Source organism: Homo sapiens, chromosome 12 (genome assembly GCF_000001405.40).
Source record: "Homo sapiens chromosome 12, GRCh38.p14 Primary Assembly".
Classification (NCBI taxonomy): domain Eukaryota; kingdom Metazoa; phylum Chordata; class Mammalia; order Primates; family Hominidae; genus Homo; species Homo sapiens.
Window position 1 is genome coordinate 14939771 of NC_000012.12, and position 25332 is coordinate 14965102.

Below are 25332 nucleotides of genomic sequence, written 5' to 3' on the forward strand. Positions count from 1 at the left end.
GTTGACAATATGATTGTATGCCTAGAAAGCTCTGAAGACTCTGCCAAAAGGCTACTGGAACTGATGAATGATTTCAGTAAGGTATCAGGAAAAAAATAAGTGTACAAAAATTAGTGGCATTTCTATACAGCAATAATGTCCAGGCTGAGAGTAAAATCAAGAACACAATTTCATTTACAATAGCTACAAATAAAATGAAATGCCTAGGAATACAGATAACCAAGGAGGTAAAATATCTCTACAAGGAGAAATACAAAACACTTTTGAAAGAAATCAGAGGTGACACAAATGAAAAAACACTCCATGCTCATGGGTAGGAAGAATCAGTATCTTCAAAATGGCCATACTGCCCAAAGAAATTAACAGATTCAGTGCTATTCCTATCTAACTACCAACGTCATTCTTCACAGAATTAGAAAAGAAACTATTCTAAAATTTATATGGAACCAAAAAAGAGTCTGACTAGCTAAAGCAATCCTAATCAAAAAGAACAAAAACAGAGGCGTCACATTACCCAACTTCAAACTATACTACAAGGCTACAGTAACCAAAATAGCATGGTACTGGTACAAAAGCAAACACATAGACCAATGGAACAGAATAGAGAACCCAGAAATAAAGTCATATACCTACAACCATCTGATCTTCGACAAAGTTAACAAAACCAATCAATGGGGAAAGGATTCCCTACTCAATAAATGGTGCTGTGATAGCTGGCTAGCCATATGCAGAAGAATGAAACTGCACCCTCATCTTTCACCATATAAAAAGTTAACTCAAGATGAATTAAAGATTTAAGACCTCAAACCATAAAAGTCCTAGAAGAAAACCTAGGAAATACTCTTTTTGACATTAATCTTGACAAGTAATTTTTGGCTAAGTCCTCAAAAGCAATTGCAACAAAAACAAAAATTGACAAGTGGGACCTAATTAAAGAGGTTCTTCAGAGCAAAAGGAACTATTGATAGACAATCTACAAAATGGGAGAAAGCATATGCAAACTATGCATCCAACAAAGGTCTAATATTCAGAATCCATAAGAAACTTAAACAAATCAAGAAGCAAAAAACAAATAACCCCAATAGAAAATGGGCAAAGAGCATAAACAGATACTTCTGAAAAGAAGACACACAAGAGGCCAATAAGCCTACAAAAAATGCTCAACGTTACTAATTATCAGAGAAATGCAAATCAAAGCCAAAATGAGATACAATCTCACACTAGTCAGAATGGCCATTATTAAAAAATCAAAAAACAACAGACACTGTGAGACTGCAGAGAAAAGGGAATGCTTATACATTATTCATGGGGATGTAGCTTAAGCAGTTACGTAGTTCAGCCACTGTGGAAAGCAACTCTAAGTAATGAGGACATCTATACCTTTTATCTCTACAGTAAGGCCAAGGAGAGTACTCCAATTTTTAGGAGTAACGTTAGCATTCCAAGGCATAATATTTTTACGAACGTATGGAGAGTGACCAGTTTGAAGATTTCTCAAAAAACTTGAAACAGAGCTACCATTTGATTCAGCAACCCCATTACTATGTATATATCCAAAGGAAAGTAGATTGTTGTACCAAACAGACATGCACATGTATGTTCATTGTTGTGCCATTCACAATAGCAAAGACACGGAATTAATGTAGTTGCCCATTAATGGTGGATTGGATAAAATATGTGGTGCATATATACCATGATATACTATATGGTCATAATAAAAAAGTAAAATCATGTCCTTTGCAGCAATATGGATGAAGCTGGAGGCCATAATCCTAAGCAAAGCAATGCAGAAACAGAAAACCAACTTCCATATGTTCTCAGTTATAAGTGGGAGCTAAACACTGAACACACATAGACATGAACATAGAAACAGTAGACACTGTGGACTACCTGAGGGGTAAGGGAGGGAGTGGGGCATTTTTTGAAAAACTATCTATTTAGTACTAGGCTCACTACCTGGATGCAATATACCCATGTAACGAACCTGCACATGTACCCTCTATACCTAATATAAAAGTCGAAATTAAAAATAGCTAACTAAATAAGTAAAATGTAGATTTCCCACTGGCTGTATTCTGAATGTGCATTGCCTATTATAGTGTAATAGGGGACCAATTTGTTCCCAAAGATGTAAATATCTCCTCCAGTGTGTTTTCCTCATCCCCATCCCCTCTGAGGGAACTCATGAATGTGAACCATCCAGTTATCATATTTGTTCAAAGCAAGAAAGCAGGGAAATGAAGGTCTCAGCCAGAACACACACAGTTATTGTTTTATTCTTGTTCTCTTGTGTCGTTTACAGTGTCTCTCACAAAAGAAGAACTCCCTCTGGCAGGGGATGTGACTAGGGACTCATTGGGCCAGCAACAACCACAAAAGAATCTAGGCATTAGAATGAACTACTGGAACCTGAGTCAAAGACCTGTTAGTGATAATTTGCCCATTTTCTGGCCTCTAGTTGCTTGAATAGGGGTAAGACAGGGAAATATTAAATGATTGTGTACTGAGATGGAGACGTGGAAGATCTGGCCCTGATGGAGGATCAGAGGGAGCAGGTTGGGTGAAAGCCCGGTTTTAAGCCTCTTGTTCTAGGGACCACGTTGAGTGACAGGGTGGGAAAAGATGCATCAATAAGGAAATGTGGCAGTGTTGAAGAGGGACCCAGCTGTGGACAGGGAGGAGGGACAGGGTGCTGAACACGCCTGAGAGAATTCTTCCAGGTGGCAAGGGTGGGGAAAGGGGTGGATGCATTCATTCTGTCCACTCCTTCTTAATCGACAGGTTCCACTCCCAGCTGAGGTGGTCTTGCTTGTCATCGTCGGTGAAGAAGGACTTGTTGTGGTACGTGCCTCGCGCCAGCATGCCCTTGGGAGCCTCCTCAACTGGAGTGAGGAACTCATACTCCTCAGGCCGAGGTCCATAGCTGCCAACCATAAATGTTGCTTTATCCACTAAGAAGAAAGAAGAGTTCATTAGGGTAAGAGCCTGATAGAGGAAAAACATACACTGCAAACTGGAGAATCTGGACTACAGCCTACAGTGATTAAAGTCAAGAGCAATGGTTTCCAAGCCTAAATAAACATTAGATTTACCTGAGGCATCTTTTTTTTTTTTTAAGATGGAGTTTTGCTCTTGTTGTCCAGGCTGGAGTGCGGAAGCACAATCTCGGCTCACCACAACCTCCACCTCCCAGGTTCCAGTGATTCTCCTGCCTCAACCTCCCGAGCAGCTGGGATTACAGGCATGCGCCACCATGCTTGGCTAATTTTGTATTTTTAGTAGAGACGGGGTTTCTCCATGTTGGTCAGGCTGGTCTCGAACTACCAACCTCAGGTGATCCACCCGCCTCGGCCTCCCAAAGTACTGGGATTACAGGTGTGAGCCACCGCACCTGGCCCTGAGGCATCTTTTTAAAAAAATTATTCTTTAAAACATTTTTTAAGTTGGAGTGCCTTTTAATAATATAGTTTCCTTTGTCCTACTTCCAAAGGCTATGGTTCAGTAACCTTCTGTGGGTCCCAGGGATCAGTGTTTTTAAAAAACTACAAAGTTGATTCTGAGGTAAAGTTGGGGAACCAGTGGCCTAAATCAATGGGGATTAAGCCTGTTTTTTTTTTTTTTGTTGTTGTTGTTGTTTTTTTTATGGAGATATAGCAGATTACACCATTTTAAAAAACTCAGACAAATTGAGACCTCAGTTCTGATCTCAGTCCTGCAATGGCCTAAGTCATATAACATTTTTGAGCCTCCATTTCTTTGTGTATATGATGGACTTTAAGGATCTTCTATCTACAAACTGTCATTCTATGAACATATCAGTTGGGGGAGATAAAGTAACAGATGGTGATGAGAATTCATGGATAGAATAACTGGATGGAACAACAACAGCAGTAAGTTGGTAAAAAAAAAAGTGAAGAACTAGGACAAATGGTGAAAATAGCCAATCAAGTTTATTTATAGGTGGTTAACTGGAATATATATTAAGAATAGTTGGGCATTGAAAAGTATACATAGGCAGATAGGTGGCATATAGTTGGCTAAGTGTTGCTAATAAGTTTGAAAAAACAGTTGCAGACATGTCACTGTCCTTTTGTCTAAGTGAGGTGATACGGGCTTTATGCCCAAAGGAAAATAGGAAATTAAACTTTTTTTTCATGAGACTAGGTATCGGAAAGGCCAATCAATATCTTTCAGGTCAATGGTCTTCTCTGGGATTTGAGAAATTGACTGGTCCTCTATGTCATCCAGATTTATCAGACAATTTCTCCCCTATCTTGCTTATTAATTTGGTGGAAACTGAGACATGCTTTGTTGTTTCTTGCCTCTGGAGGGGACAGACCCTTAGGTAGAAAGGAACTGTAAAGTGCCTCCATCACCTTCCCGCCTCTCATTTCTCCCTGCCTATATTAATGAAAGAAAATTGAAGGCAGGGTCCCAAGGCATGACAAGAAGAATTGCAGATTAAGTAATGTTGTTGTGTTATTTTAATTAGACAGGCTTTTTCAATCCTAGAAAATATTTTTTTTTCTATTTCTTTGTTAGGAAATTGAGCATTGCCTCCCCCTTCCCTCCAATGCCACCCCCACCTACTCCCACCCCAGATACACATGGCACTGGGCAAGTTTTTTCTTTCTTGGTTTTCTCTGACACTTGGGTTTTGTACCTGTGAACTGCCTTTTTTGGTTGTTTACTTTGTAGAGTATTTTTATATACTTTATTTCCTTTAAACTTATCTTGGTTACTCTTCTCCTTTACGAGTGATAATATTGAATCCAAAAAGCTGACTGCTGAACGTTAGCAGCTGATGCAGTCTAAACGAGGTCCCCTGAGCATTGGCCTTGTCAATGTCTATATCAGAGGTGTATTTGTGCCTTTTCCTAGAGCCGGCATCCACAGCTTTTATTGTATTCTCATCTGAGTCTATAGCTAAAAGTTGCTAATAACCAGAAGTTAAAGTATCAATGAGAAGCAGTTTGGGACAGTGTGGAAATGTGGGTTCCCTTACCTTTCACCCCAGTCCTGTAGGTGTGCTGAACGTATTTCAGGCCTGACACAATATCCCTGTTCACCTGCAGGTGGGAAGGAACCAAGATGTTCAGATTAAGAGGGTCTTTCATTTTTTCTCATCTTTCATGCTGATCCTGCCTAGCTGAATCGTCTCTGACAATGAAAAAACTAAAGATTTAGTTCAGAATTGGTGTTTCTATAATTATTTAGCATGGCTGTGAGGCAAAGATTAGAGAGGGGAAATCATAAAATGCAACATTGCCAAACTGGTTTAATTATCGAACATTTTGATTTTTACCGTTTTGGGAGAGAGGAGTGGTTCATTAAAACATTGGCCCAATATTCTTCATTGTATTTCTCCTTTCTCAATGGTCCCAAGAATGGCCTTGAGCTTTCCCTCTCCAATACTGCTGACCAAGAGACCATCCTTGTCTTAGGAAAAGTTATGAAGATACCAATAGAGCACATTATGTAAATATCTAAAAACCACAACCTCAGAGATGATCCACTTACCATATAAAAAACAAACAACAAGGAGGAAAGTGAAAATTCATGTCTAGAAGATGGCTGTGACTGCAATATAACTGAAATAATGGGTGAAATTCACTTGTATCTGGCAAGTATGTTGGATGTCTGTCATTTTCAGACGTTGTCTGAGATCTTGCTATTTTCCCAAGCCTTTCAAAGAAAATTCAGTAACGCAGAATGAAAATGTGGACAGCCCAAGAACTTTGTTTTTCCATGATTCATTTCACCTGGGACTGACCTGGGTTGTCTGTTAATTTTACACAGTCGTTATGTCTATACAAACAAATTAAAGTGGACATTGCATCATTAGCCGAAGAGCTTGGTTATCTGTTCACCAATGTGAAGAATTAAAGCATCTTCAAATAATTTTTCTTCAACAATAATTATGGCTGTCCTTTTGTGTTGGACACAATAGTTCAACCAATCAACCAGTGCTATCTTTTGTTTTGTTGGCAGGGAGGTGGCAGAGCAGTGAACTCTGCCAGCTTAGATTCTTGACTGTCACAGGGTAAATCTGTAGTATAAACCTATGAAAAGCTGTCAGAAAAAAAATTAGCATCATCAAAGAGACTGTGATAAAGCCCAGGCTTTCTAATACTGTGAGTCTCAAATGTAGCTCATAGGAATAGGGAAAATAAATGCACCTTTCTAGATGTCCCGAAGCTTATCCCTTTCACCTAGTGGGAGAAAGACCTAAGAAGAAGAATTATATTGGTGTAGCAATAAGGACTTCAAGACAAAGAGTCTACCATCTCACCAGCGCTCTTCAGTGGGTCCATTTAATATAAATACATTTGGGGTGGGTGAAATAAAACTATGAATATTCATAGAATCCTCTTCTTCTGCCCACATCCCCATCCCTATTGTGTCTCCCACTCCAGGGGGAAGAAGCCTTGGTGTTATGAATCAAAGTGAGAGCTGTGGAAGTCAGAGATACCACATTTCCTTGGGAGGCAGAAAAAAAGTTGGGAAGAACCTAAAATAACAATCGTAGGTCAGGTTTTTAGAAAGTGCTAAGAAGTTTGGGAGGAGAAAAAGAACATTGAGTGCAACTAACAGAGATTGTGAAAGAGGACTTAACATGTGTTACTTGTGTTATAAATGCAAACTTTCTTGGACATTTTTCAAGAGACTTCAGTGAAGATTTAAGTTGTTTTTCAAGGATTTTTGACTTTGATCTGGCATTTCTTCTAATTGTAGCACCATGCTGGGACAAGCCACAGGATGGTTCAACTTTACGTAGGTTACCCAGAGAGCCATCAAACCTCTGAATTAGAGAGTACTCAAAAGCCCCTTTCTGTGGCCTCCTCCTGCATCATCCTAATGTGTAAACCTGTCCACACAGACCCACATACCACATTCCTCCTCCACCTCCCCATCCAGAGGAGAAGCCCCTGTTCCAGAGCTTTCCTTTGCATCTTAGTCACGTCAAAATTTACCTGTCACATTTCATTTGAGGAAACCTGGTTTACCAAATAGACAAATTAATGCAATAGCATCAATGATTAAAAATGAAACTGATGTGCAACCCATTCTAGGCATATTTTGATATAATGCCTTACCAAACCTTCAGGTGCTCCAATAATAAATAATATGACAGGAAACAAGTAAGTGAACCCTAGCTCAGTGTCCATTATAGAGTAGGCATCAACAAATATTTCCAGGATGAAATTATTTTCAGTTATATTTGTATGGGGTAGGGAGGTCATCCATAAACCCTGAATCATATCCTGTACCTTGGGGAAAAAAGTTCCCAGTGTGCAAATAGAGAGAGCAGATGGAGTCTTCCTTGGTGGAGCCCAGGCCCTGGAGACTGAGGCTAAGTGGGAATGAGAGGCCACCAAAGCAAACATAAACCACGAAGTGCAAACACTGCATTTCTAACTTATTTGTTTTCAAAGTCAAAGTTATTTTTCTTGTGATTTTGGCTGCTCATTGGGATATATGGCTCATTGGGATATATTAGATGTCAGTTTATTTCTTATTTAGTTTCCTCTTTCCTGGTTACCTGTTCCACAACTATAATTGTAATTTCCAGTTCTTTAGCAAAGATCACACTTCCTGGATTTATATAATCCTTGAGCAATTAGAGCTGAGGCCCTGTCCCATTTTCTTTTCCTATTGGTTGATTCACTTGTTTGTCCACTTTTCAATATATATTCATGAACTATATGCTATTTACAAAGTTTTGTGTGAAATATTGGAAAGGAGAGATGTACAATTTCACCCTAGATTGAGGTGCTTATATTCTATGAAGAAGAAATGACACAGGTGGTACAACACAAAGCAGTGTGTGCCTCGAGGATGTGTTTGGAGTTCACAGAGGGATCCCATTGGCTTAAGAGATAATGAAGAGTTTAAGAAGTCCTGGCTAGGAAAAGACAGGAGGCAAACGTGGGTCTCAACAGGTAGCCCTCAGGGCTGGGAAGAGGACATTCCAGACCCAGCTTGGGGGTACTAGGGGAGAAACAAACAAAAAGTACCTCAACATGATCATGCAAGAAATGTAGTCACTGATTAAAGAAAAGATTTAAACTTTACAAAAACACACAAGGCAGGATACTTACTTTGAAGTGAATTTTGACTCTATATTCAGAACCTTCCTTTAACACAATGGTTTCCTTTTTGAGGGCTTCCAGATCTCCTGTAGAAGAAGATTTAGAGAGAGTTTATCCTCAAAAGCAGATACACAAGTTAATAAATGACTTTTAAGTCCCGGAAAAATTTGTTGGGCCCACGAGGGCAACATGGTTCACAGGGCCCTCAATTCACAGAGTATTTGAGTTTAGTCCTTGCACACACACACACACACACACACACACACACACACACTTAATGCCTGAAATCTTACAGCTCTGTTATGAAAAACATGAGAGTTTCCCTGCCCCCAAGTTTGATGACAATGCTAAAAATACACAAGACATTACAAATAATGAGTTGTGAAGATAAATCTTTTTTTGGTCCATTTATTCTCTCATTGAGAATTATATTACTGGTCAAATGAAGAGGTTATTAAAGAATATGCCCCTTACCCCTCAAATAAAACATATAAGAAAAATAGTATTTAGGAGTGTCAGCTATTTGTTTTTATAGATTTGGTGATGTTTGTGGCATTTTCTAGCTTTTAAAATTCTACTTGTTTTTATTCATTTTATCACTTTAAGAAAATGTTCACCTTTGTGTTTACTCTTGTATTTTCATTTGCAATTTCATACTATTTTTCTTAAGGAATATCACTGAAGTTATAAAAGCTTCAGGTTCCATAAAACCAGGATCTGTCCCAAATTCCTGTACCCTGATTAAGGAGGTAATCACTCTCTATGCTTTTCTTCATGCATAGCAGCTTGTTAGTGACAGAAAACCCAATTTGGTTTTCCTCTGCTGGGAAAGGGGACAGAGACCAAGTTTTCCTTGCAATACTACCAGGTCCTGCTGAAGAGAACAGATTTCTTTAGCGCTAATTCAGACCTTATCTTGCAAACTGGCAGCTGTACCTGGTAATATTAGGAAGACTCTGAGTTCTGGTGAGAGAGCGTGAGTTTCTCTCCTGGAGAGATGTCAGCATGTCGGGGTAGCTGAATGTGTGTGTGTGCCTGCTCTAATGATTTCAGTTGAACAGGAAGTGTGCCTTCTCAGCCTCTGATTTCCTCCCTCTGACAAAAAAGCCCATATAAGGTAAAGACTGGCTGTGTCCTGTGAGAGGGGAACTACTCTGCTGCTAACTAAGCCAACTGTTCTAGACTTGTGCTTTGTCTGTCTCACAAGAGTCCAATTTTTTCATTTGGTAACTATTTTTTTTTTCCACTAAAAACTTGCCTTTGAAGGCCCCAATCTCCTGGCTCCGTGCTTCTCCTCTCATATCCCCTCTGATGCCCATTTCCTCCACAATAACCCCCTTCCCAGTCTCTCTCCTCCTCAAGCCCTAAGTCTCAGGGAAAGGCTTGACCCTTAGTTACAATAAGGTGAAAGAAAATAACATCTTAATTTGTACGCCTTTAGTAGGAGACGTTGTTTATTTAACAAGAATCAGAGTTTCAAGCTAAAACAATTCAATCTATAGCAGTGGAATTTCTAGTATAATTCCGGATTGCTTCTCACCTTCCAGTAAGTTTTGTAGTGGATAGAAGATCAATACTTTGATGTTTAGACTGTATAAACCTTATAACTTCAGAAGCACACAATTTGTTTCTTAATATTTCCATCAGCAGTCTTTATTGCATAAATAACAATTCTCTTACTATCATGTGGAGACAAAAATCTGTAAATATATCAAATGTGTATGCCTGCACTCTCTTCAATTAAATAGAGATAAAGATTGGGCTTTTCATGAAACATGGTAAATACTGTGCACTCTAAGAGCAATGATTTGTTAACTGGTCCTAGCATATATATCTCTCTGATTCACCAGTTTTCTTCTGTTGGAACAGGAGACAGAGACCAAGTTTTCTTTGTGATATCTTAGGCCCCCTTTGAACAGTACAGATGTGTCTACATACCAGTAAGGTCCATGGTGATTGGTCCCGGGGCACTCTCACAAACCAGGGTGAGCCGGGTGACAACGACATTGGGGGCTTTCGGATCTGCAGGATCGAAAGGGAATGTAAGTACCAAGAAGAGACATGTGTATAGTGGGTGTGTGCATTTCAAGTGGGAGACAGAGAGTATGAAAATAAAAGTGATCTTTCTATCTGGAGTAGAAATAGAAATGGATGTGGCAGGTTTGCTATGCTTGGTCTTGATGGCCTTGTAAATTACAGCAAAGTTATTTCTGCTTTAGGCACTTGTAGGTCCATCTAATTATTGACATCCAACATTTCCTGAATGGCTATGGGTCAGGTACTCTGCTAATTGGGCACTGTCCATTTATATCTCTGGGCCATGTCTTGTTCTGCCGCGGTGTATGTGGAAGAGATGAACGGTTAGGTAAGGACTGAGAAAGAGAGAAAATGGAGAGAGAGAAATACAATTCTAAGTGGTAGCCTGGAATTCTTTCTAAATCCCCTCTGTGTGTTATGTGTGCCTATCTCACTGCTGACTTGCATCTTATCTCTTAAGAAGACTTAATTATACAGTTCATAACTTTAATCAGCATATATAAATTGTGCCTCGCTCACTTTTTCCTGGAAGCAGTTGGTCCTCTTCCCTTTGCTGCTGCTCCTGAGCAGCCAAAATGTCTTCTTCCCTCTCAGCGATCTTCCACCCACCCTGTTCTCTGTACACACATACCTGTCACCACAGGACCATCTCCCAGCAGCGTTTTCTTGTACTTAATTAGACTCTCATCATCTTTGTCCATTTCCTGCAGCTCTTTCAGGGACTTCTGTGGTGGAGGCTTATAATTGAGCTTGCTGTCCAGCTCATCATCGTCATCCTCCTCCACATGTGGCTCTGGGGCTTTTTCAGTCATTCTGATCTATTTCTGGGAGACAGAATGACAGCCCGTTAGTCAACAAGTCATGAATATAAAAGATGTTAGTGGGGCTGCTGTTAGCAGCCTCCTTACCCTCATGGACTTCTCTGATCATCAGTCACTTTCCTGATTGTTTTCCTAATTCAATCTCATTAAATTCTATGAAATAATAATCTAATGTATTCTAGTAATTTCTCTGACCTGCCTGAATTTCTCTGTACCATTGTAGTATCTTCTATTCACTGAACAAAACTGACAAGAAAGAAATCACTCATATGTGAATAACGTACTACGAGTGAAGCAACATGGCACAAAGACTCCTGAACAAATGAAGCAAAAGCCCAGTCAAAAAGCTGTAGGAGTTATCACAGTCCTCCAAATCCAGCCAGCCTGGCTAGCGTCAAAGCTTGCAGCATGCACAGTCTGAGTGATAATGGTGGAGAGAGGCAGGAGAGAGAAGAGAGAGGTGGAGTACTTGCCAGAGAAATGGTTGGCTCCTCCCCATCAATGGAATCTGTCCCTGAACTCCAGCAATGCCTCAAAGATGACTCATGACGAACCGTTGACCTTTATGATACCTGCCTCAGGTGCCTGCATGGTTCACACCCAACACTGCTAATCACCCCTCAAGGGTGGGTACTAGGTTTGCTGTTTTTCTTGAATTCCCCCTAAAACACTTGCATAGTTCTGGCACTTTATACAATTTCCTTGATTGATATATAAGGTTTTATATCTAAAGATATTCTATTCTTTTTAAATGCCACAAAAATAGCAAAGGACAGTTTAAATTCCTCCAGACAAAATCGTAAGTACAAATTTGCCCTTAGCATTTGTCCATCCATTTCCCTTTTCTGGATCCACTTCCCTTTCAGTCTCTCCCCTTCTCCCCTTCCTAGGTTTCCATTGACCTTATAAGGCCCCACCTGGGCATACCCTGGAGTCTTCCTTCATCTCTTATTATCTACATTTACTTGTTTTGTGTTAAAACATTGAGGAGAAATCTAGGCAAGTTATTTACCTGTTAAGGGTTAATGACTGAATAGTAGATTCAAAAATTATTCCTTTTAGAGGATGTATAGTCACAGCTTTTCAGAGCTGAAATGAACCACTGGGGTTCATGTAATCATTGAGGATATTGAGATCCAGAGTTAAGAGAATTGCCCAGGTTCACACAGCTGGATGAGAGGCAGTATACTAACCAAGAGGAAGAAGTCCCTCTGGGAAGAATTTCAGGCCCTGTGGCTGACAGCCACATGAGATGGCTGCCGGGGAGATATTTGGGCAAGGAGATTGTTTTCTGATTTCCTTAATTCTATCTTGAGGGTAACTCTTTTCCCTGCCTGTGGTTAAAGCCTTCATTGCTCCTAAGTGACACAACTATAAGAAAATGTCTGTCACATCACATCCTGAGTGGTTCTGCAAACCTTAATAAAGTCTCCCAGGAGTGAAGATATCTCTGGCCAAAATCAGTTCTAGTTTTGAGTTTCAATGTCACTATTATTGGCAAGAGGAAGAAAAATAATTTGGAAGTAAAGCCAAATGAGAGCAATTTTAATGGAACCAAAAAAAAAAAAAAAAAGAGAAACAAAGAAATAATATCCCTTGGCTCATCAATTCTCTTCCATCTAAATAAGCAGCCAAACATTATGAGCTAGCCTTGACCAACTCTGAAAACAGCATTGCAATGCCCAGGTTCACTTCCTGTACAGGAAGAAAACATGTAGGCCTGTTCCTATGGCAACTCTTGCTTTAGCAGAAGAAACAGCACCACTCAAAGATGAGACTCTAGAGCACAGCAGAATAAACATAGTGACTAATGCAATTCGTATTCCAAACAACACTCAGGGAAAGTGAATGAACTGGTTGGAAAAAAATGAAGGAGGCAGCGTGTAGATGTTGTAGGTTGTGGGAAATTTAATGACATTCATTAAGGGGCAAATGAAGAGCAAGCCAGATAAGACTAATCAGATGAGACAGGGGCATACCCAGAACCCTGGTGATCCCCGGAGGATGGGGGCCACATAACAAACCTGCTGACCGAGCATCGGAACAACGGTTCATAGAGGAAGACATCCCAGCCCCCATGGTCAGGCCTTTCTGAACTGTATCACTTGGTTCTAACAAGTCGCCTGATTGAATGAAACCTGGCCATCAGATGGTAACATTACATCCAGTCACTGGCTCAAGATGATTTCAATAACCTCCAGGAAATTGCAACTATGCAGGCTCAAATCTCAATGTTGAAAAGAGAAAGAGAGAGAAAGAGAAAGAGAGCGAGAGAGGGATTAGGTATAGGACAAGATTTGCCACCTTCTAACAGTATGACCATTGGCATGTCCATTTATCTAACATATAGGTCTTGATCTTCTCATCAGTAAATCTGAGGCTTATGTTCTACATTTTCTCGATTCATTGCAAACAGATATAACAATTGTTTCATAAAAAGAGACACAAATTTACCTAGACATTAAAGAGTGGAGGATACTGTGGGATTTCTGTACAAAATTTTGTTGCAGTCAAAAGGGGGAAATTCAGGGCCACATTAAAATCATTTGGTTTAATTATAGCATAAGAAAAAGAGATATGAGACCAGGTGATCCCAAACTAGCTCATTCTAGAAAGCTGATTAGAAAGAGTAATAATACAACAAATAAAGGACTGGAAGAGCAGTTCTCAGAGAAAGCCTTTTAAAGTAAAATTAGGGTCATGATTATTTGGTGAGCACCCACTGTTTACAAGACACTGTACTTCAGCCATACTGATGTTTAAATTACTCTTCAGAGTAGAGAAGAGGCTGGAAGTTGGGCAATCTAACTATACCAAAAGGGCCCACCTGGTTTGGTTGATTTCTTATTTTTTTTGGAGATTACAGGTCTCTTTTTTAAAAATCTGATAAACATTATGGTAATTATCTCAAGGAAAAAAAAAACAGATAAACCCATGACATTGTGCATATGATCCAGGGGTTTGTGGACCCCTGAAGTCCTTTATAGACTTATTTGGGTTCAAGATCTCCAGATTAGGAACATAACCTCAAAACTATGGAAGCATGAAGCAGAGAGTGGAGTGTTACAGAGGAAGGTTGCTTTTTTGCTTTTGCTTGCTCTCTCTCTCTCTCTCTCTCTTTCTCTTTCTCTCTCTTTCTCTCTTTCTCCCTTTCTTTCTTTGTCTCTCTCTCTCCCTTCTTTCTTTCTCTCTCTCTCTCCCTTCTTTCCTTCCTTCCTTCCTTCCTTTCTTCTTTCCTTCCTTCCTTCCTTCCTTTCTTCTTTCCTTCTTTTTTTGAGGCATAGTTTTACTCTGTCACCCAGGCTGGAGTACAGTGGCTCTATCTTGGCTCACTACAACCTCTGCCTCCTGGACTCAAGCAATTGTCTTGCCTCAGCCTTCTGAGTAGCTGGGACTACGGGCACATGCCACCTGCCTGGCTAATTTTTTGTAGTTATGGTTGAGATAGGGTTTCCCCATTTTGCCCAGGCTGGTCTTGAACACCTGAGCTCAAGAGATCCACCCGCCTTGGCCTCCCAAAGTGCTGGGATTACAGGTGCCTGGGCAGAAGCTTGCTTTTTCCTGGAGCTCCACCAGATCATTGACACAACTTAGTCTCAAGCTGAGAGTCATGTCCACCTGCTCAAAGTGTTGAATATATTGAAGCAGAAGATATCAGGTGACACCTGTGTCTGAGGGCGCATGACCACAAAGCCTGGCAGAGAAGCCCAGGTGCACATGGGTGCAGGAAGTAGACCCTTAGGAGAATTCCGTGGTCATTCCGTTTGATTTTGGATAATGCTCTCTTCATTGAACTAGGCCTTGTTATGCATGCCTGGGTTTGGGTTCTGGCTTTCCTACTAACTAGCTTTTCCCCTGTTAACTGAATGTTGCAACCACTGCGGATCTGAGTTTCCTCATCTTGGGGGATGAGGGATTAGAGCACATCATCTTTAGATGATTACTTTTCTAAGGCCTCCGCATATTTCTCCTGACCTGCAGTCATGGGTCAGCTAAGTTACCATTCAGTTACCTTATTTCACCTGTGAATATGAGAGAATATCTGTCTGTGTTTTGTTATTTAAAATGTATGTGAATCCCCATGCTAAGTGAGTAGACATTAGCTGCTCTTGGCACAGAAACAAAAAAAGGGTAACTACGTGAGATGATGGATATGTTGATTTGCTTCACTAACATTTTTACTATCGATGTGTGTCCCTAAACATTATGTTGTATACCTTAAATATATGCAATAAAATTCATCTTTAAAAGGAAATTTAAAAATTAAAAAATAAAATGTATGTGAATCCCCAACAGATGCTGCATATTTTATTTTATTTTATTTTACTTATTTTTCTCCCAGACATAAAATTATTTTTCTTTCACTGAACAGGTCTTTGCATAATAAAGGGTACCATAATAGTAATAGCAAATTGTTACTGAACACTTGTGAGCCAAAAACTCAGTTAGTACGGGATAAGTGCTTGGCATGCATTATTTCATTCAGTCATCGCAATGTTGTGAGGTAGGCACAATTACATTTTACAAGTGCAAAAACTAAGACATAGAAGAAAATATTAAATATTTCAATTACACAAGCATTTAAAATTCCTTTCCTAATATCACCCTATAGACAGTGAAAAGAGTAATGGTCTGGATTCTAAAAATGAGACATTCGCAATGCATGTATTAACAAGAGATTGATATCGGGAATACATAAATACCTCCTATGAATCAATTTCTTAAAAAGTATTTATTGTATATATTTAAGATGTAAAATATGTCTGGGATACATAGATAGTGAAAAGGTTACTATAGTCAAGCAAATTAACATATCCATCATCTCACCCACTTTTTTTTGTGTGTGGCAAGAGCACCTAAAATCTACTCTTCAGCAAAACTCAAGTACAATACAATATTATTAAGCATTGTACTGCATTTTTAACGTTATTTCTGGGTAACCTCAGTTTCTCCCGAAGCCCCAGCCATAAATGGCATATACAGTTTGACAATGATTTCTCAAATTATCTGTGTGCATATTTAACCACAAACAACAATTTTCTCTTTTTATCCTCCTATTTTATGGATGTGTGTTGAAATGAGAATAGGAATTTTATGAAAATTCTACAGACTGTTTTCCAATCCCATCATCTAAAGGACAACTGATTTTCCTATTGATAATATTGATATTATTAATACAAATTATAATAGTTATCACATGTAGTGCTAAGTGCTTTCTAGAGGATTATCTCATTTAGTTCTTACAGTAACTTTGTTGGCATCATCATTCTCTTTTCCAGACCAGGAAACTAAAGTTCACGTTAAGTAACTTGCCTAAGAAGACATACCACGTGGTAGGCAGAATTAATGTCTGCGCCCAGGTTGTCTGACTTTTAGGCACTATGCTTTATTGCTTCAGTCATCTTTAAGAAGTTATAATAAAATTAGAGTTTGTTAGTCATCTTGGGAATCTACCTGGAGGTGCACAAGCAGAGGTAAATGCTTCTTTGCAAGCTCTGCAGAGACAGCTTTAACAAAGCAGGGAAGTGTCAGATAACGATGTTTCAGCGCAACTCGGTTCCTGCGTTACCTCCTGCAAGTTGCTTAACCTCACTGGGCCCCAGTTTCATCCTCTGCAAAAAGAAGCCGTGGCATGAGAGGATCTCTGAGGCCCCTTCTTAATTTAATGACTCAAATGCTCCCTAATTTAAAGAAGCTTGTGAAATGAGAAAAGAAAAGAGGAAGTAAAAGGGAGATTGGGGAGGACTCAGCCCATCAGCATAGAATCTTCTGGATGGGCTTTCCTCACCTTCCTCAGCTGCTCATCCCCTATTCTACAAAGGGCAGAGCTGAGTTTTGCTTATTTTTGACTTTGGTCCTTTGCACAGGAAAAATGAAATGGAGAATGAACAGTTATATGTTTAACCAGGTTAATGTGGACCCCATTTATTAGGCCCCAAAGCACATATCATTTTTTCACACAGGCTTGCTACTCTAGTTTTCTGTATTTTCTGCTTCACAGATGCGCATACAGATTAACTTTCACATTGGAGGCCTCACATCCTCATGTTTGCTACTCAGCAAAGCACTGGCAAGCATTAGATGTGCTGAGATGGGGACTTAATCTTCTCAGGCTCAATTAAAATGTCGAATTAAATTAGGATGGTTACTCACAGCATGCATATGACATAGCACACATCAATGTTTTTGCTTGCAAATTCAGTGAAATTTCCAAGACTTTGAAAGTGAATTACACTTAAAAATTTACACCCATGTCAGGATAGAGCATCATCTGTTTCATTAATGCAGCTCTAAATGAACTGAGGACAAGAAAAGGTAGAACTCCTGAGTTTAGATTAAACAAATTACCTGGGTAATTCAGAGAAAGGTGACTTTCATGTCTCATAGAACATAGATTGAGTCAGATGGACCAGGGATTCAAAACCAGGCTCTGCATTATGACAGGACTCAATCAAGTTGCTAATTTCACTGAGCCTCAGTTTTATCACCACTAAAATGGGGATATTCTTTTTTACGGGGTTGAAAGATTGGAGAAAACACATGAAAAATTATAGGACTATACTGGTCAAGAATAGATGTTCCGTGAATATTTGTTCCCTTCCTCTTCTTCCTTCCCTGCCCCAGTGTGGTCTGCTTTGTTGCAAAGCTTCACTGAAGCTAGGTAACTGTTTCCACACCAAATACTTTCCCCTGGATGGGAGCTATGTCCCCACTCCTTCCTCCTTAAAAATAGATTTTTGTCTTTGAGGAGTATTAAAGAGATAAGAAGTTCTGGGGAATTGAAAGGATTGTTTAAAAACTGAATCAACCTTAAAATGAGACTATATTATATTTCTTTTAAAAACTTTCATGTAAACAATTTAATTTTAGGTTTTATTTATTGCTCCCTGTCTTCATTGAAGCCAGAGGTCACTCTGCGAATGATGAGAAATGTCAGTGAACACAGGCACAGCTAATGAAGAGAATTCCCTCTGGCTCTGGAGCAAAATACCACAGAGACTTAACTCACGGCCCAAAGCTGGATCTGCAAAATTGTGCTGGATTATGCATCTAGACACACAGGCCATGGATATTAATGTATTAGGTAGAAGAGATAGCGATGAGAGAGAGAGAAGGAAGAGGGGAAAGAGGGAGAGAGAAAGAGGAGAGAGAGAGGAGGGAGAAGGGAGAAAGAGAGAGAGGGAAGAGAGAGAGAAAAGTGGAAATACCAGAAGTAGGGGATTTCTATCAGAGAAGTTCCTATGTGAGCATCAGCATTCTCTGTAACTCCTGCTACCTCCACTTTCCCTGCTGACTAGGATATGTCTGACTTCCCCCAAATCGGGCTGTGGGTCTAGTGCAGGTCTGGAGAGTCAGGCCATCTCTAAAACACTGTTGACATTTCAGAGCTAGTCAAGGATTTGAATGTGCTGTGCTGCTTGCCTGGCAATTTGGTGTATTACGGGATTGCAAATTTGTCTCTCAGGACACCAGAAGCCTTCTTGGTTCGGGATTCCACCCTCTCCCCACCGCCCCTGTCCCTGGTGACATGGAGGAATCCATACTCCCCACTTTGCGGTGCTGCTTTCTACCACCTCAGCCCCATGAAGGACTACGAAAACTTCAAAACTGGATGAGAAAAACCAAAGACAAGATTATTTTGTAAGAGACAATAAATATTGTAATCAATCCAGAGAAGGGCACAAATTACTAGAAACGTAATTTCTTACCATTTGTCTTTGTGAGAGAAACAATTTATTATTTCTTGCCTGTGCATTTTTTAGTGTGTTTTTCTAACCCACATTCATATGCACAAAGAGAGAGAACTCAAAGAGATCCCGTGAGCTTTGCTGAGTGCCCAACGTGTGAAGTCATGCCACCAAGTACCTTCACAAATATTATTTTAAATAATTCTCAAAGAAAACTGTGCATTAAGGAAGCCATTGCCTTCAGTATCTCAATATATTCACAAAAGTTTTAAATTAGCATGAAAAGTTAGACAGAATTGAGAGAGAATTTTTTTTATGACCGTTTGTGCTAAGATTATTAGGCTCTTTAAGAAAGCCCAAGTGAATTTTTACCAGCGGTAAAATTCACTCTTTGGCTGTGGACACCAGAGAGTAACACAACACAGGATGATTCAGGATGTGCTTATTGCACAGATAAATGTTGCTGACGTTTCAGGGGCAACATGAGACTCATCTCTGGGTATGCCAGTGTAGCCTTGAATACAGGATCCCGGGCAGCAATAACACAAACCAGGAATAAGAACTCTCAAAATATGGAATTGGAGAAAATTTCTTCCATGTGATTCTTCCTAAAGAATGTGGGAGATCACCTGAGCCTCAGGAGGTCGAGGCTGCAGTGAGCTGCGTTCACGCCCCTGCACTTCAGCTCGGGTGACAGAGTGAGACTTGTCTCAAAAAAATAATAATAGGCCATGCATGGTGGCTCACGCCTTTAATCCCAGGACTTTGGGAGGCCAAGGCAGGCGGATTGCTTGAGCCCAGGAATTCAAGACCAGCCCTGGCAACATGGAGAAACCCCGTCTCTACTAAAAATGGTAAAATTAGCCAGCGTGGTGATGCGCGCCTATAGTCCCAGCTACTCGGGAGGTTGAGGCGGGAGGATCACGTGAGCCTCCTGAGTAGGTAGGACCACAGGCACGCACCACCATGCCCTGTGAATTGCAATTCAGAGGCATTGTGGCTATTGATCCTTTTTGTATCAGTATGTAATTTTAGTCAAATTATTGAACACTTCTGCATTCTTCTCAGGAACAAAATTTGAAAGTTTTTATCACCAGGCCTGACACATAGAAGGCACTCAATGAATGTTGGTTCTCCTTTTCTATCTGCATAATTTCGACTCCCCAGGGCTTCTCTTTTCCTGCTAGCTGATGTTTGTCATGTACTGTGCTCTCCCAAATCAGCTCAGACCCGTATCTTTCCCTCAGAATGACTTTGTGGTGCTGAGTGTCTACTGAAAACAGAACCTTAATGTTGCTCAGAGCTAACTTCCCTAGGGGACAAACTCATGCTCTCCAAAGCAAGGAAGGACCAAATTCCAGTCGAGGCCTGAAAAATGCTTGCCAGTTTCTGTTCAGTGACAGCATAGTTAGTCCTCAGGTTTTGCATCTGTGAAGCATGGATGGAGAAAGAACTGTCTCTTAGAATTTCACACATCTCACAAAAGAGTAAGATGCTCTTGTTACTAAGCTTGTGCTATATCTGCTTTGGGAGGGAATATATTCTTACAAATTAAAAAAACACAAAGCCAATGGCAAGATTCACGATGCCTGCTAGGGACTGGACCTCTGCCCCCTGTCTCTCCGGACCAACAGGTGCCATGGTCCTCTTGATCTCCTGTGCCTGACCATCCCTGCAGTGAAGATGGCCAGGCCAACCCTGACTCCAGGGGCTCTAGGTCTCCATGTGAAGTGGTGACCATGAGCCCTCCGGGTGAGAGCAGTCTGCCTTTCCCCACTCTGAATGAAGAACTGCCCAGGGCTTGCCAGACACACACCTCAAGTTACCATAGGTCTAGAGTTTAATTACAGATTATGTTTATGAAACATGCTGGCTGGGAAGTCCTCTAAAAGGGAAGAAAGTATTTCAGGTCATACCTAAAGCACTTCTCCTAATGGTGGCTGAAATTCAGACCTTGACATTTTGAAGGCCCACTGATCAGCTGTCCTAGCTGGGCCCCCTTGAATTTTTCTCAAACCTGTCTCTTAATACGTTATTTGGTGTTTTCCATGTTTGCTGTTAGTTATCTCATACCTAAAGGGCTATTATCATTATTAATATTTTTATTTTTTGAGCCAGAGTTTCGCTCTTGTTGCCCATGCTGGAGTGCAATGGCGTGATCTTGGCTCACTGCAACCCCTGCCTCCTGGGTTCAAGTGATTCTCCTGCCTCAGCCTCCCAAATAACTGGGATTACAGGGATGCACCACCACACCCAGCTAATTTTGTATTTTCAGTAGAGATGGGGTTTCACCATGTTGGTCAAGCCGGTCTTGAACTCCTGACCTCAGGTGATCTACCCGCCTCGGCCTCCCAAAGTGCTGGGATTGCAGGCGTGAGCCACCACGCCCAGCCCTATTATTATTTTTGACAACAACAGCAAAGATCTGCCCATCCGACTGCAGGAATTTAATACACAGCCTTTGTCAGTGGTAGAAATTCTATCACTGTATGACTCATGAGTACATAACAATGTGCTATACCATACTTCCTCTTTGAGGGATAAAGCCCCTGCACTCTAAGGGAGGATTTCATTATGCATTTCTCTTATATCACCAGAAAATTATTTAGTGGAAGACAGTTTAATATTTGACAGCTTTGAACCATTTTTTTTTCTCTTTCAACCAGTCTTTTTACATTGTCTGCTTAAAAACAGGAAACCACATATCTCCACCCCAGCACAACCCACCATCCACCAGCACAGACCGTATCATTTTGGATCTACAGTCTTTTTCTTCCAAGCCTGGCCAGGTGCCTGCTCCTACTTTGCAGGAAACCCCTCCAGGCACTCCCGGTGCGTGTTCTCAGAGCCCTTCTGAGAATATTCAGGATTGCACTTCCTGGGCTGCAGCGCACCCTGTACCCTCCTTTTTTAAGCCTCCTCCCCTGAGTCACTGCTACCCTTCCCTCCTCTAACTTCCCCTTCTCTGCAGCCTCCTTAGCAATTTCTTATCATAAAGTTTGTTTTAAAGAAGAACTGCCCCTCTAAAAAAATAATAAACTGTCGAGGGCGGTAGCCCCGTCTAGAGGTTTCCGACTTTGCTCTGTGCCCACCTGAAGCCTCCCCAGCCCGAGGTATTTGAACTTACATTCAGTGCTTCACGTCTCTGTCCGGGGTGCCTCTGTCTCTCAACTCTGACTTCTGAGTACTGGCAGTTAGAACAGGAAGGAAGTCAATGAGAAAAAAAAATGTTTTAGACCTACTTGAAGAGGAAACCCTGGGCTGTCTCAAATCCTGTTCCTTTGCACTGCCTATCTCTTGATCAGCCAACTTGAGCAGCATTCTTGTCAATTAATGGCACATGTGCGAGCATGACAGCCCGTGTGACGTGGAGATGCATGAATGTACACGCAAGAGTGTGGAGCCTATAGCTATGGGTATTATGAATAATTGTGAGGGTATTTCTGATAATCAGGTCATTGCAGTGCATAAGCCTATGGAGGTAAGGAGCCTGAAACCAGTAGCAATAAATTCACATCGGCTTTACTTTGTACCACTCACTTCTGTTCCCACTGGGTCCCCGCCAGCTTCATTATCAACCAGATACGTTGAAAGTTTGCTGGCAGTGAATGTAGAGTGCTAAGAAATGATGATTGTTAACTGCATATACTACGGTCCTAAATTTAAAAATGTGTCCTTAAACAGATTTTTGGAGTTTTGTTGGTTATAATTTCAAGACGTAGCTTTGTATTGCACTACAAACAGTCAAATATTGTTTTTAATAGTTTTGGCTGATTTTTCTTCAAATGAAACAAACAAGCAAGCGAAAGTACTGTCTTTGATGAAACCTAGGAAAGAAATTACAAAAGGAAGTAAAACTTCATTAATTCATAGTCTTCCAACTCAGAATTTGTGACAACTTAACAAGTGCCAAAATAGACTTTGTACCATATTTGAGGAAATGGTTTATGAAGTAATTTAAATGGGAACAAGTCTCGGAGGCCATGTTTAAACCATCTGAGGAACAGTTTTTAAGCAGCCAAGTCACATTCATGCTGTATATTCCCGTAGCTGTTACCAATAATAAATGCTTATTTAGGTTAATATTTCAATATTCAGTATTTACACTACATCAATATATTTAGATCTGACTAAGCACACAAATTTGGAGAAACTGACGTTTATTTTGTTTTCACCTAAATGTACTGCATCTTCTTCATTTCCCTTTGTAAATTGATACCACAGGGTTTGCCTTCTACTTAGAGTCAATGAAATCGGAATAATCAAGGGAGTCATTTCACGTGAGAAGAGATTAGCCTAGAAAAATATGAAAAGGAAAATAGTATATAATTAAAATGAGCAAAAATACTAAAAGCCTAATACCACTTTATTCTATAAATTTTAAAATAGCATAGACAGAATACAGCCCTTGAAACAATGTACATAACTTTATTGTAAAAACAAAGCAAACCCTAATTTACACAGAAGGCAGTAACTTACACATTCTATAGCTCTGCACCCTCAAGAGGGGATACATTTATTCATTCCATAACATTTATCGAGCACCTCTTTTCTTTCAAGTACTGTTCTAGTTCCCTTGTGCAGCAATAGACCGCAGGCGACATCTCTGCTGCCCTGTGGAACTTATGTTGTACCTAGGAGACAATTAAAATAACACAGGCAGAATACATTAATTGTAACAAGAAATATTTAAAAATGAAAAATGGTAAATGCATGGTCTCTATTCCACCACTCATTTCTCATGTTATTAGGGAACACCTCACTAGGCAAACCTGGCTTTTTTTTTCCCTCCAGAGCCCAGTGTATATCGGAGGGTATGGGAGCACCCCTTCCCAGAAAAATCTGTAAAATCAATACATATTTTACAGATTTGTATTATAGATTAATGTATTTATTGGGGGATGAGAGAGCATTCATAATTTTAGAAAGTTCTAAAAGGACTCCAATTATCAAAATATACTTAATTCCTGGTCATATGCAAGGAGCCACGGAAAGGTACAGAAATAAACAAGACACAGTCCTAGACCTCAAGTAGCTAAAAGATGTAATGGGGAAGACAGAAGCAGACAAATTTAATTTTTTTTTTGTCAGCATAGGAAAAGAAAAAATACATGGTGTGTTTTGAGAGTACATGTAAGGACATCAAGGAAGGCTTTTTGGAGGAAGTGACCACTGCGCTCAGTTAAGAGGGAGAGTAGGTTTTGAGTAGTTGATGAGCGAAGGGTTGGGAGTGAAAGAGAAGGCACTCGAGGTAGAGGAGAAACATGAGCAGCAACACGGCCCTGGCCTCCCAAAATGATGTGGGATATGCAGGGTATTATAAGCAAGCAGCTCAAGATTGTTGGAATGTAAAGTGGAAGTTACATGTGAATGAGAAATATACCTAGAGCAGGGCAGGCACAGTGTTCAGATCACCACGGACCTCTTATGCCATGTTAATAACGAACTCGGCCTAGATCCTATCAGTGATGGGGAACTGTTGAAAGTAAAGGATGGACATGATTGTTTTGCATTTCACTTAGTTTACTCTGGCAAACTGATGTGGTTGGATTTGATGTGAATAAAATCTATTAGGAGACTGTTTAGGCTTGAACACTCATAATGAGATAGACAGAAATGGTCAGATTTGAGAAATATTTAGGTGAAATTGGCATGCCCTGGTAATTGGTGGGATGTGAAGGATGAGGATGAGGAGGACTGTGGAATCAGGAATGACTTCTGGATTTTTTTGCTAGAATGATTGGGTCCTTGGGGGTACCCCCAAGTGAGATAGAGAATACAAAAGAAGAAATAGATGTATTAGGAGAAATAAGGACATACGTTTGGACGTGTCTAGTCCTGAGTTTGAAAAAAAATGGTGTCGTTTGTTGGAGATGATTTCTGAAAGATAGTGAAATATATAAGCCTGAATTTACATATCATCAGACTATGGATAGTAATTTAAACCAGGACACCCAAAGTGTGGCCTGTGTACCAGCAGACTACCATCACCCAGGAACTCCTTAGAAATAAATGCAAAGTCTCAGGCCAAACCTCCTACATCAGAATCTCTCCCGGAGGTTGGACCTGGAAATCTATGTTTTAAAAAGCTCTGCAGGTAAACTTTGAGGTTTTAGAAACACTGGTTTAAACTATGTAAGTGGATGGATTCACCCAGAAGGAATGGAGAAAGAGAAGTTGGCCAAGCATGGGGCAATCCTGTTAGCTCCACTTTCGGTGAATAACCTGCTGACAGCTTCTTACCTCCTCCTTGTTTAGCACCCTAGCCTACCATCATTGTGCCTCTGCTGGACTTTCATAGCATTCTCTTTATATGTTTTCTATTTCCATAATAGTCTGATTTAACCTTTATTCTCATAACAGACTAAAAAGCATACTCATAATCACATCTTTCCTTCGTTTTCAGACCTCTAGGGATCTTTCATCCACTTAAAATAAAATAGAATTCTATTTTCACCTATATCTGCAAATTGGCTTATTGTAGTAGCCATCTTCCAAGACAGCCTCCAGTGATTCTGGTATTCAACCCTGATCACATTGTATCAAGATTGTTCTGTGTGGCCAATAGAATATGGCAGAAATGATGGCATGTCGCTTCCAAGGTTGTTAGACATTGTGTCTTTTCTCTTGATTTCTCTTAGATCATTCATTCTGTGGGAAGCAGGGCACCATGTCATAAGGACACTCAAGCCC

General features: G+C 40.3%; 1 protein-coding gene across 6 annotated transcripts, besides 6 other annotated features; it reads right to left on the reverse strand.

Moving 5' to 3' along the window:
* Positions 1–2244: 2244 nt before the first annotated feature.
* Positions 2245–21831, reverse strand: ARHGDIB (Rho GDP dissociation inhibitor beta). Of its 6 annotated transcripts, NM_001321420.2 has the most exons (7): positions 21767–21831; positions 16406–16563; positions 10762–10954; positions 10032–10115; positions 8103–8179; positions 5006–5069; positions 2261–2951 (listed from the first exon to the last, which is right to left on the reverse strand). In NM_001321420.2, exons 3-7 carry the CDS (start codon positions 10940–10942, stop codon positions 2752–2754), a joined length of 606 nt encoding a protein of 201 aa, NP_001308349.1. In that variant the 5' UTR covers positions 10943–10954; positions 16406–16563; positions 21767–21831; the 3' UTR covers positions 2261–2751. The 6 variants fall into 6 exon arrangements, 5 of the variants coding, with proteins under 5 accessions (NP_001308351.1, NP_001308352.1, NP_001308349.1 ...); NM_001321422.1 differs by lacking the exons at positions 16406–16563; positions 21767–21831 and adding an exon at positions 11147–11381 and having other exon boundaries at positions 2245–2951; NM_001321423.1 differs by lacking the exons at positions 16406–16563; positions 21767–21831 and adding an exon at positions 11236–11336 and having other exon boundaries at positions 2245–2951.
* Positions 9298–9507: an enhancer, noted in NCBI's record as "active region_6060". NCBI's record gives its function as "activates an Ori minimal core promoter by ATAC-STARR-seq in GM12878 lymphoblastoid cells {active_cell/tissue: GM12878}" and the evidence as "EXISTENCE:reporter gene assay evidence [ECO:0000049][PMID:35858748]".
* Positions 10677–11876: an enhancer, noted in NCBI's record as "BRD4-independent group 4 enhancer chr12:15103381-15104580 (GRCh37/hg19 assembly coordinates)". NCBI's record gives its function as "activates an origin of replication core promoter dependent on BRD2, P300/CBP, MED14 and CDK7 cofactors, and independent of BRD4, by STARR-seq in HCT116 cells {active_cell/tissue: HCT116}" and the evidence as "EXISTENCE:reporter gene assay evidence [ECO:0000049][PMID:35650434]".
* Positions 13007–13176: an enhancer, noted in NCBI's record as "active region_6061". NCBI's record gives its function as "activates an Ori minimal core promoter by ATAC-STARR-seq in GM12878 lymphoblastoid cells {active_cell/tissue: GM12878}" and the evidence as "EXISTENCE:reporter gene assay evidence [ECO:0000049][PMID:35858748]".
* Positions 16396–16565: an enhancer, noted in NCBI's record as "active region_6062". NCBI's record gives its function as "activates an Ori minimal core promoter by ATAC-STARR-seq in GM12878 lymphoblastoid cells {active_cell/tissue: GM12878}" and the evidence as "EXISTENCE:reporter gene assay evidence [ECO:0000049][PMID:35858748]".
* Positions 20174–20283: an enhancer, noted in NCBI's record as "active region_6063". NCBI's record gives its function as "activates an Ori minimal core promoter by ATAC-STARR-seq in GM12878 lymphoblastoid cells {active_cell/tissue: GM12878}" and the evidence as "EXISTENCE:reporter gene assay evidence [ECO:0000049][PMID:35858748]".
* Positions 21534–21653: an enhancer, noted in NCBI's record as "active region_6064". NCBI's record gives its function as "activates an Ori minimal core promoter by ATAC-STARR-seq in GM12878 lymphoblastoid cells {active_cell/tissue: GM12878}" and the evidence as "EXISTENCE:reporter gene assay evidence [ECO:0000049][PMID:35858748]".
* Positions 21832–25332: the final 3501 nt, after the last annotated feature.

Bases quoted from the DNA above. Each gene is read 5' to 3' on its own strand.
- ARHGDIB (NM_001321422.1), bottom strand. From the start codon at position 10,942: ATGACTGAAAAAGCCCCAGAGCCACATGTGGAGGAGGATGACGATGAT. The intron at 10,116-10,761 runs GTATGTGTGTAC...TCGATCCTGCAG, and splicing joins AGATGGTCCTGTGGTGACAG to ATCCGAAAGCCCCCAATGTC. The intron at 8,180-10,031 runs GTATGTAGACAC...CTTCTTCTACAG, and splicing joins AATCACCATGGACCTTACTG to GAGATCTGGAAGCCCTCAAA.